This window comes from Homo sapiens, chromosome 19, assembly GCF_000001405.40.
Source record: "Homo sapiens chromosome 19, GRCh38.p14 Primary Assembly".
NCBI classification, from domain to species: Eukaryota; Metazoa; Chordata; class Mammalia; order Primates; family Hominidae; genus Homo; species Homo sapiens.
Window position 1 is genome coordinate 5,476,181 of NC_000019.10, and position 11,765 is coordinate 5,487,945.

Below are 11,765 nucleotides of genomic sequence, written 5' to 3' on the forward strand. Positions count from 1 at the left end.
CACCTTGTAGTCCCAGCTTACTCGGGAGGCTAAGGTGGGAGGTTTGCTTGAGCCTGGGAGTTTGAGGCTGCAGTGAGCTATGATTGCACCACTGCACTCCAGCCTGGGCGACAGAGCAAGACCCTGTCTCCAAAAAGAAAAAGAAAAAAAAAGAAATAGGGTCTTTGCAGATGAAATTATCCTGGATGTAGAGTGGCCCAAAATCTAACAACTGGTGCACTTATATAAGAAGAAGCGGGGCCAGGCACAGTGGCTCACACCTGTAATCCCAGCACTTTGGGAGGCCGAGGCGGGCAGATCGCTAGGTCAGGAGATCGAGACCATCCTAGCTAACACGGTGCAACCCCATCTCTACTAAAAATACAAAAAATTACCCGGATGTTATGGCGGGCGCCTGTAGTCCCAGCTACTCGGGAGGCTGAGGCAGGAGAATGGTGTGAACCCGGGAGGAGGAGCTTGCAGTGAACCAAGATTGCACCACTGCACTCCAGCCTGGGCGACAGAGCGAGACTCTGTCTCAAAAAAAAAAAGGAGAGGCGGCCGGGTGCGGTGGCTCACACCTGTAATCCCAGCACTTTGGGAGGCTGAGGGGAGAGGATCATTTGAGGCCAGGAGTTCAAGACCAGCCTGGACAACATAGCAAGACCTCCATCTCTAAAAATACATTTTTTAAAAGAATAAAATGAAGCAAAATAAACCCCCTGCCACAATCCTGTTCCCTGGGGTGACCCCCCTTGACGTTCTGGTGTGGATGCTTCTGGAATGTTCTCCGGTGTCATTCTGCTCTGTCCTCCGGCCCCCACCCACGTGTCCAGGATGTGAGTCCTCGTCCGCTACCACACCAGACCTCACCCTTCATCACGGCTGCATAGCCTTCCTTTTCAGGGATGATAGAGGTCACCTGCCCCCCAGTGACGGGTTTCTGGTCATTTCTGGTTATTTGTCTGTCAACGCTGAAGTGAAGGCTGCTGGACGCATCTCTCTGTTGCTCTAAAACCCTAACTTACAGAGGCCCAGTCTGGTTTATTTTTAATCTTTTCTTTTTTTCTTTTTCTTTTTCTTTTTCTTTCTTTTCTTTCTTTTTTTTTTTTTTTTTTTGAGACGGAGTCTCATTCTGTAGCCCAGGCTGGAGTGCAATGGCGTGATTTCAGCTCAATGCAACCTCCACCTCCCAGGTTCAAGCCATTCTCCTGCCTCAGCTCCCCCAAGTAGCTGGGACTACAAGCGCACGCCACCACACCTGGCTAATTTTTTTTTTTTTTTTTTTTTTTTAGTAGAGACATGTTTTTGCCATGTTGACCAGGCTGGTTTCAAACTCCTGACCTCAAGAGATCCACCCACCTTGGCCTCCCAAAGTGCTGGCATTACAGGCATGAGCCACTGCACCTGGCCTGCTTTCTTTGGAATGGTCTGCTTTATTTTGAATTTCAAGCGATTCTGCTGACACGAGGCGCAGACAGAGTTGGTTCTGAGTCCCCTGGCCCTTCGCCAGTGCCCTGAGCCAAGGGAGGGTACAGGGCTCTCTTCCTCCACCTCCAGGCCACCACTCTGCCCCCCTCCAACCCATTCCCCCAACACAGACAGTGGGATCTGTTTATTCATAAAGTAGATCACGTCCCTCTCCTACTCAAATCCCTCCCAGGGATCCCTAGTACCACTTGAATAAAACCCGAAGTCCTCCCCACAGCCCGTAAAGCCCTGCACACCTTGCCCTGTCCCTTCCCTACTTTGCCCTGTCCCCTCCCTGCCCTCTCCTCCTCCTCACCCCCTCCTCTCCCCCTCCTCACTCTGCTGCAGCCACACGAGCCCCCTCGCTGTTCCTCCAACACGCCAGGGTCTGTCCTGCCCCAGGGCCTTGGCACTGATGGTGCCTCCTGCTCACCCCCTTGTCCAGGCAAACGCCTCATTTTGCAAATCACAGCTCCAATATCATTTACTCATTCCATACTTACGGAGGAGAGAAAGAAAGAGAGAGAGGCTGGGGTGTCTGAGAGAGGATGTCGGAGGGGAAAAGCTAGGCAGGGGGCTGGAGGGGAGGGGCGGGGTGTGGACAGGCTTGCAGGGGGGCGTCTCGGAGGCTGATGAGGCAGCTGGGACAGAGGTGGGGGCGGCGGCCCCCGGATGTGTGCAGCCCCCTGCCGCCCACCCCCCCAGCAGCGCGCTGGCTGCTGCCCGTCAACACTCGCCAGAGATGCGGGAAATATTTTCTCTCCGGCTGACACTTTTGGCAAAATACAATTCCTCCAGCTTTTTTCCGTGCAAAAAACATGTCCATCAAACCCGTCCCTGCGGCGCCTGTGGAAGAGGGAGGCCGCTGGATTGGGTCCGGGAATTGCGGGAATGGCTCCGGGGAGAGATGGCAGCCTCCCCGCCCCGCTCTCTCTCGCTCTCTCTGCAGTCAGAAGGCGACATAAAAACAGTAAGAAAAATAGTTAAAAGCCCACCGCGTGTTCAGTCAGCGCTGGACTTTCTCCTATCTATGCCTGCTCCATGTGCCTGCACAACCCTACTGCTATTAGCCCCGGGTTTCCGATAAGAATGCTGAGCCCAGAGAGGGGAAGACGCTTCCCCAAGGTCACACAGCACAGTTGGGATTTGAATTCAGATCCTACATGACCTCCCCAGGGGTGCCTCGAAGAGCCTCTACTGAGGAGGGAGAGGAAAGGAAAAGCAACGGACACCAGAGGGATCAGCAGATGTAAGAGTTTCAAGCAGGCTTCATGCAATAGCTCCTGAAGCCCTCAGTTAAATCCTCTGTAGCCAGCAGCCCTCAGTTAAATCAAGATGTGACTGTGGCTTTCCCAACTGCCTGTATCATCCTTTCACATGCTAGTCCCCACAAACCCCTAAGCCAGGGACAACTGTGGCAACCACAGCAACTGGCTCAGAAGAAAAGAAATAAGAATAAAGTTTGGAAGCTGGCGACACCCAGATGTCCCCTCCTTTCTTACCCAGAGTAGGAAAAGAGGAGGCCTTCAGTAACAACGGTCTTAGACATGAGAGAGAACATCCACCACCATGGAGATTCAAATCCAAACTGCACCCCTCACCTCCTGGTACACTCAGCCCAACCATCTCAACTCTGGGAGCCTTGAGGGGTTGCAATGTAGATACCAGACATATAAAAGCTGCAGTGGGCCGTGCTTAAGTGGTCGAGAATGTCAAATGTGAGCCTAACAGCCCGGGGTTCGAATCCCAGCTCTGCTGCTTTCTCGCTGTGCAACCTTCAGCAAGTTGCTTGACCTCTCTGTGTCACTGTTTCCCTGTTGGTAAAAGGGACATAAAAATTCCTGCCTCCCAATTTTAAATATGTTGATGTTCCAAAAACACATGGGACGGAGCCTAGCCTACAACAGGTGCTTATACATGTGGGATATAATATTATTATTATTATTATTTTTGAGACAGTCTTGCTCTGTCACCCAGGCTGGAGGGCAGTGGCACAATCTCAACTTACTGCAACTTCTGCCTCCCAGGTTCAAGCGATTCTCCTGCCTCAGCCTCCCCAGTAGCTGGGATTACAGGCACCTGCCACCACGCCTGGCTAACATTTTGTATTTTTAGTAGAGACGTGGTTTCACCATGTTGCCCAAGCTGGTCTTGAACTCCTGGCCTCAAGTGATCCGCCTGCCTCGGCCTCCCAAAGTGCTGGGATTACAGGCGTGAGCCACCGTGCCCGGCCCACATGTGAGATATAATTAGATATGTGATTCCCAACCAGAGACAGGGAGAGCCGGGACGATGTCCTCCCTCCCCGCCCACCCAACCCAGGGAAGGGCAGCAGGGAGATGGCTCTGGTCCCAGAGCCCCAGCCACCGGCGGCTCCCTGGGCGAGGGATTGACTTTTCTAGAATGTTTTGCCCCTCCTCCCAGTTTCCATCAGGAGCCAGCGCGGCCGCATAAATCCCGCTTTACGGCTGTTATTGACGGGGGAGCAGAGAGAGCAGCCCCAGGAAGGCCCAATTAATTTTCCCACCTGGCATCTGTGCGCCAGACGAATTTCTGAACTGCTGCAGGGAGGGGCAGAGCGAGCTGGGGAAAGGCCAGGCTGAGGACAAGGTCGTGGGCAGGCCGGGATATCCTAGGCTCTTAGCTTCAGAGCACTGTTGAGGGAGTCCCAGGCTCTCTTGTCTGAAGGGTAGAAGTGGAGGGGGCTGTCAATTCTGAGTAGGGCTTGAAGCTTTCAGTTAGGATGCAGATGAGGGTTTCACTGAGGAGACACTGAAGCAAAGACACAAAGGAGGCTAGGGAGGCTGCCACATGGCTTTTGGAAGGAACAGCTTGCCAGCAGAGGGCACAGCCTGTGCAAAGGCCCTGAGGCAGGACCTCACCTGGGGTGTTGGAGGAACAACGAGGAGGCCCATGTGGCTGGAGCAGAGTGAGTGAGGGGGAGACAAGGAGGAGGAGAGGGCAGGGAGGGGCTGGGGCAGGTCGTGCAGGGCCTGGTAGGCCTCGGGGAGGACTTGGGCTTTGACCCTGAGGGAGGTGGGAGCCATTGAGGGCTGTGGGCAGAGGAGAGACGAGATCTGACTTAGGTGCTCACGGGCGCCCTCTGGCTGCTGTTCAGAGAACAGTTGTGGGATTCACAGGGAAAACAAAACCCAGTTACTAAATTCTCCCAGGTCCAGGTATTGGCTGGGATCTGTAAACCAGAGACCCCCTGGCACTTTAAAAGGAAAATCAAGGCTGGGCGCAGAGGTTCACGCCCATAATCCCAGCACTTTGGGAGGCCGAGGCGGGTAGATCACCTGAGGTCAAGAGTTCGAGACCAGCCTGGCCAACATGGAGAAACTCCATCACTATTTCCAAAACTTTCTCATCTTCCCAAATTGAAACTCCATCTCCATGAAACACTCACTCCCCACCCCCCTCCCCAGCCCCTGGCACTCCCCATCCTACGTTCTGTCTCTGTGAATCTGATGACTCTAGGGATCTCCTAGGAGTGGAGTCACACAAGATTTGTTCTTTTGTGTCTGGCTTCTCTCACTGAGTGTGATGTCCTCAAGGTTCATCAATGTCATCGCCTGTATCAGAATTTCCTTCCTTTTTAAGGCTGAGTAATATTCCATTTTATGCATAGATCACATTTTGCTCATCCATTCGTCTGATGAAACACTTGTGTTGTTTTTGGCTTTTGCCTATCGTGAATCATGCTGCTATGAATGTGAGTGTACAAGTATCTCTTTGAGACTCTGCTTTCTATCAAATTTTGTTTGATTTTAATTAATTTAATGTAAACAGCCACCCATGGCTAGTGACTGCCATATTGGACAGAGTGGCTCTGCAGAATGGAAAGAGAATAGAAGAGAATGAATTTTTTTCTTTCTTCAGTGTGATTGAATTCTCTGTCTGGGCCAACGAATGGCAGGCATCTCATGAGTCAATGACAGTTATAAGTGTCCCACACTAGAACCAATTGTCCAGGGCAGACACATCCCAAGAGCCAGGGCGACCATGGAAAAGCCCCTGCCTAGGATGAGGTCCCATGGTCCTGCTGCTTTCTTCTGCCCAAGGGCAGGTGGTCTGGATCCAACAGGCTTGGGGACAAGAGCCACCATGTCCTTAGCCACCCCTTTCTGGCTGTTGCTGCACAGCCCTGCTTACAAGAGACCCAAGGCAGCCACACCTCACCCCATGGCCATGGGCCTCATGAAGGTGGTGCCCAGGGAGATCGGGTGGGAGATCTGGGACTCCTTGGATTGCACCTGTGCTGTAGAAGAGCCTTGAAGGAAATGTTTAAATGGAGGTGTATCCATTAGCTATTGCTGTGTAACAAAGTACCCACAAACCTAGCAGCTTCAAGCAACACATTTATTATCTCACAGTTCCCATGGATTGGGAATCTGAGCATGGCTTAGCTGGGGCCCCTGCATTAGGGTTTCTTACAAGGTTACAGTTTTGGTGTCAACCAGGACTATGGTCTCATCAGAGGCTCGACTGGGGAAGGATCCATTTCTAAGCCTTCTCGGGTTGCTAGCAGGATTCATTTCCTTGTGGCTGCAGGATTGAGGTGCCTGGCTTCTTGCCATTGGCTGAATTCTGCTCTCAGCTTCAAGAGGCTGCCCACAGTTCCTTGCAATGTGGTCCCCACCCTGGGCTGTTCACAATGTGACCATGTGCCAGTAAGAGAGAAAAAGAGTAGTGAGATTGCTAGCCAGATAGAGTCTTATGTAAGGTAATATAATCATGGAAGCAACATTCTGTCACCTGTGCTATATACTGTTGATGAGAAACAAGTCACAGGTCATGCCCACACTCAAGAGTAGGGAATTATGCACAGGATGTGAACACCAGAAGGCAGGAATCATGGGAGCCACTTTAGGATCTGTCTGCCACAGGAGATAAAGAGAGCAAGAGTTTTCAATGGCTCTGGGCCCCAAGGGGTTTCTGGGAGACAGGGAAGGAAGAAAAGGAGGGGGGAAGGAGGAGCTGAGAGTAAGAGAGATTGGGAATTGGGAGGAAGGGAAAAAGAAAGACATTAAATTCCATCTATATCTGTGGTGCCCCACTTTTGCCCAGCCTTGTACCCAGAAAAGTACCAGCCCTGGATTTTTCTATGTCTAGCACAGATACTCCCAGCCTAGTCTGACATTTGCTGTGATAAGGGAGGTTGGAAAAGGTTCCTGATCCAATGTGGGGTTGGGAAAGGTATCCTGGAGGAGGCACTTTCTGTGCTGATCCCCAAGTTTGAGACAGAGCCAATGGGTGAGAAGGGGGAGTGGGTTCTTGCTGGAGAGACCAGCAAGAACAAAGGCCCAGAAGCATGAAGCAGAGATGTATGTTCACACCAGGAGAGCAGAGTGATAATACAAGAGGGTGGAGGAATGGGTCATTACTTTGCCTCTTAGGGAGGTGATGTTGTACCCATTGTACAGATGGGAAGACTGAGGCTCAGAGAGGTGAAACCACTTTCTCCAGGCCACAGGGCTAAGAAGCGGAGCAGCCTCATTCGTAAAATGGATGTTTGAGGTCCTCATTAGATCTCACATCCTGGCTCTGAGGCCTCCTTTGTGACTCGGGATCAAAAACAAGAATAATAATAATAGCAGCAGTATTTGTTGATCACTTTCTATGTGCTAAGTGCTCTTGTAAATGCTGTACTTCAGAAGTCAGCCAGGGACAAATACAGTCCAACACCTGTTTTTAATTTTTTTTTTTGAGACGGAGTCTCACTGTGTCACCCAGGCTGGAGTGCAGTGGTGCAATCTCAGCTCGCTGCCAGCTCCGCCTCCTGGGTTCACACCACTCTCCTGACTCAGCCTCCTGAGTAGCTGGGACCACAGGCACCTGCCACCATGCCCGACTAATTTTTTGTATTTTTAGTAGAGACGGGGTTTCACTGCGTCAGCCAGGATGGTCTCGATCTCCTGACCTCGTGATCCATCCACCTCGGCCTCCCGAAGTGCTGGGATTACAGGCGTGAGCCACTGCGCCCGGACAACTTTTTTAATAGTTGAAAAAATAAAATAATATTGTGGTGCTGAACACAGTGGCTCATGCCTGTAGTCATGTCAGTGTTTAGGGAGGTGAGGCGGGAGGATTGCTTGAGGCCAGGAGTTAGACACCAGCCTGAGCAACATAGCAAAACCCCATTTCCACCAAAAATTTAAAAATTACCTGGGTGTAGTGGTGTGAGCCTGTGGTCCCAGCTACTCAGGAAGCTGAGGGGAGAGGATCCCTTGAGCCCAGGAGTTCGAGGCTACAGTGAGCTATGATGGCACCACTGCGCTCCAGCCTGGGTGACAGAGCGAGACCCCGTCTCTAAAAAAAAGAAAATAGTAAACATAAAATAAAATAAAATAAAAACTTGTCTTTTGGGACACATGAAAATATGAAATTCCAATGTCAGCATCAACAAATAAAGTTTTACTGGCATGCAACCATGCTCATTTGCTCAGCTATCATCTATGACTGCTTTTACACGACTGGCAGAGTTGACTTTCTGGCCAAAACTTTTGACTTTCTGGCCCCTTACAGAAAAAGCTTGCCAGCCCCTGCTGTCATGTGTTCACTCTTTGCAACAGCCCCATGAGTTAGATGCTGTGTCTTCCTTCATTTATACAGATGGGGAAACTGAGGCATACAAGCTGAAGTGGCTCAGCTAAGGTTATAGTGGATAAGTGATCAAGCGGGGATTTGAACACAGGTCTGTTGGACTCCCCATAAGGTGCTCTCACTGCTGTGTCATGCCTTCTTGCCCAGCCCTTGGTGCTTAAGGCTGGGAGTGCCTGAGTCTAGCTCTTTCTCTCCCTAGCCTAGGATCCCTCCAGAGGGCTGGGCTCTGCACTGAGCCTTAGCAGAATCCCAGCATCCTTGGACCCGGGGAGGTGCGCCAGTCAGCAAAGTGCCCAAAGCAAGCTCCAGAATCCACCTTGCCCCCTCCTCCAGGGCCCATCCGGGAAGGCAGCCAGTTAAGCGCAAATCAATTAAACAAACTCCATGCTGCCTGCCGCCCTCATATTCTGACCTCAGCCAAGAGGCTCGCATTCCAGCCTGGCGGACTTGGGTCCAAGCAAATGCACTTGTGGGAGGATCTGAGAAGGGGCTGCAGGATCAGGAATCCATACAAAGAACTCCAGCCTGGCCCCCTGGGAGCCTGTGATACTTAGTTTGTATAATCTGATCCCCCTTGGGGAACATGGTGGGGAGGTACTGTGTGAGCAAACGCGGGGAGGGGGGAACCTGTGGAAACAAGAGCCTGTTCTGCAGAAGATGAGCTGCTCAGTGTGACGGAGAGTGCAAGGGAACAGTGAGAAAGAAGCCTATAATTTGCTCATTGTATGTGTCAATCAAGCGATAGAGGTTGCTGTTTCTTCGTTGCATGCTATCTGAGAGATTTGACACCTGAAAAGGAAGTATCAAAATGCAGGCTCTCCCTGCTGGACTCAAACCTACAGCCGTCTTGTAAGGGCCTGAAGACAGAGCAGAGACACTAAGAAAAGGGGGCTTCTGGATCCAGCCATTCCTGAAGTCCATATACCCCTGGACTTTTCACTTTACAACCTGACATTTATGTATATGGTGTCTGCATGGTAATTAATAGTGGTCTTGTCAAATATTTCTTGATCTTTACCTTCTGAAACATAGAAGACTAGATTATTCTTCAGCAAATTTCATTCAACCTCTTCCCAAAGTTTACGGGAGAAATGCCCTTCCCTGACCCACTGAGGCCATCCCAGCTACGTGACTTGCTTTGGTCAAGGCAATGTGAGGGAATGTGACAGTGTGCCAATTCTGCACTTAGGTCTTCAGAGTCACTGCATGTTTCTACATGACCTCTCCTGCTCCAACCTTTAGCCCTGGGTCAAAAATGCCTTGAAAAGCCACTAAGCCAAGGAAGATAAAAAAACACATGGACCCGGCCTGACCCAATTCACAGGGTAGAACTGAGCCCAGCTGATCTGCAGATGTGAGAAGGAGAAATAAATGCTGGTCAGGCACAGTGGCTCACACTTGCAGTCCTAGCACTTTGAGGGGCCAAGGTGAGAGGACTGCTTGAGGCCAGGAGTTTGAGACCAACCTGGGAAACACAGTGAGACCTTGTCTCTACAAGAAGATAAAAAATTAGCCAAGTGTGGTGGCACATGGCTGTAGTCCCAGGTACTTGGAAGGCCAAGGCAGGAGGATCATTTGAGCCTGGGAGATGAGGCTGCAGTGAGCTATGATGGCACCACTGCACTCCAGCCTGGGCAATGTAGCAAGACCCTGTCTCTACACACACACACACACACACAAATTTTTTTTTTGAGACAGAGTCTCGTTCTGTCGCCCAGTCTGGAGTACAGCTGCACAATCTCAGCTCATTGCAACCTCCACCTCCCGGGTTCAAGTGATTCTCCTGCCTCAGCCTCCTGAGTAGCTGGGATTACAGACACGTACTACCACGCCTGGCTAATTTTTGTATTTTGAGTAGAGACGGGGTTTCACCATGTTGATCAGGCTGGTCTCGAACTCCTGACCTCGTGATCTGCCTTCCTTGGCCTCCCAAAGTGCTGGGATTACAGGCGTGAGCCACCGTGCCTGGCCTATACAAAATTTTTAAAAATTAGCTGGGCATGGAGGTGTGCACCTCTGGTCCTAACTACTTGGGAGGCTGAAGCGGGAGGATCACTTGAGGCCGGGAGTTCGAGGCTGCAGTGAGCTATGATCACACCACTGCACTCCAGCCTGGGGGAACAGAGTAAGACCCTGTCTCTGGAAAAGAAAAAAAGAAGTGCTTAGGGTTGTATGTCAAAGAGATTTGGTGGATGTCATAGCTACGGCTATTACATGAGCACAGTTTGGGATTGAACTTCCTGGCTTCTGCAATGGGTTGGATTGAGTGGGAATGTAGGATGGGTTCTAGACAACATGGTGAAACCCTGTCTCTACTCAAAATACAACAATTAGCTGCTAATGAAATACCCTCCAGAACCCTGTTTTCTTCTGCCACAGAAATCAACAAGTTCCAGGCAGTGACTGCTCCATCAGCCAGGGTCCTGGAGGGAAGTGATAATCTTCAAGTCCCTGGCCCAAAAGGTCACAATTGCATATACAATGTGAGTGAGAAATAAACTTTGGATGTTCTTAGCCTCTGAGGCATAGGGGCTGTTTGATTACTGCAGCAAAACCAAGCCTATCCTAACAGATACAACAGGAATGGAGGCTTTTGATACCACAGAAAAAGGTGGCAGACAGTGGCATAGATCCTAGGCAAAAAGGAAGACTCCAGACCCTAACTGGTAACATTTATCAAGTCCTTGCTGTGGTCCAGGTGCTCTGCACAGCGCTTCTTTTGAGAGTTTACATGCTTACATTGAATTTGCACACTCATGCTATGGGGTAAGAGCTGATTTTTTTTTGAGACGGAATCTTACTCTGTTGCCCAGGCTGGAGTGCAGTGGCGCGATCTCAGCTCACTACAACCTCTGCCTCCTGGGTTAAAGCGATTTTCCTGCCTCAGCCTCCCGAGCAGCTGGGATTACAAGTGTGCACCACCACGCCTGGCTAATTTTTCTTATTTTTAGTACGAACGGGGTTTCACCATATTGGTCACGCTGGTCTCGAACTCCCGACCTTAGGTGATCCACCTGCCTTGGCCTCCCAAAGTGCTGGGATTACAGGCGTGTGCCACCATGCCCGGCCCCAAGAGCTGATATGGTCTCCATTCTACCAGCCAGGAAACTAGGCTCAGGGAGGGACATAATTCACTCAAGGTCACATAGCAGGGAATAGGTATAGCTGGAATTTCCTGCCAGACCTGTCTGATTGCAGAGTCTGCCTTTGCCCACAATCCACCTTCCTCCTGGCCATGATACGACGTTCCAAGGGTCTGCAGCCACATGGTTTATCATCTCCACCAACGGGACTTGAGACCACAAGAGAAACCACAAACCTCAAGCCCTAAAGCTTCTCAAACTCACCTGTTGGGATTTAAATCTTTCAAGGAGACCTAGTAGCTCCCCAGAGTAGCCTCATAGAGCCACCATCCCCATGCTTCCAGTTCCTTCTATGATCTCACCATTATTACATGGGGGAAGATTTCTCTCTCTCTTTTTTTTTTTTTTAAGAGACAAGGTCTTGCTCTGTCACCCAGGCTGGAGTAGTACAACGGCACGATCATAGCTCACTGAAGCCTCGAACTCCCAATCTCAAGTGATCCTCCTGCCTCAGCTTCCTGGGTCGCTGGGACTGCAGATGTGCACCACCATACCTGGCTAATTTTCTTTTTTTTTTTTTTTTTTTTTTTTTTAGACAGAGTCTCACTCTGTCGCCCAGGCTGGAGT

At 50.6% G+C, this 11,765-nt stretch overlaps 1 long non-coding RNA gene across 1 annotated transcript, besides 2 other annotated features; it reads right to left on the reverse strand.

Annotated features, from left to right (window-relative positions):
• Nucleotides 101-270: an enhancer, noted in NCBI's record as "experimental_51701 CRE fragment used in MPRA reporter constructs". NCBI's record gives its function as "activates a minimal promoter by MPRAs in K562 erythroleukemia cells, with activity observed for both the introgressed and non-introgressed 19:5476377 variant alleles {active_cell/tissue: K562}" and the evidence as "EXISTENCE:reporter gene assay evidence [ECO:0000049][PMID:34662402]".
• Nucleotides 866-1,083: a silencer, noted in NCBI's record as "fragment chr19:5477057-5477274 (GRCh37/hg19 assembly coordinates)". NCBI's record gives its function as "represses an EF-1alpha promoter that drives an FKBP-Casp9 reporter gene in an ReSE screen in K562 erythroleukemia cells {active_cell/tissue: K562}" and the evidence as "EXISTENCE:reporter gene assay evidence [ECO:0000049][PMID:32094911]".
• LOC124904622 (uncharacterized) lies at nucleotides 5,798-11,463 on the reverse strand. Its single transcript, XR_007067106.1, has 2 exons — nucleotides 11,403-11,463; nucleotides 5,798-6,097 (listed from the first exon to the last, which is right to left on the reverse strand). It is a non-coding gene; the product is annotated as an uncharacterized LOC124904622 (long non-coding RNA).
• Between the last annotated feature and the right edge of the window lie 302 nt (nucleotides 11,464-11,765).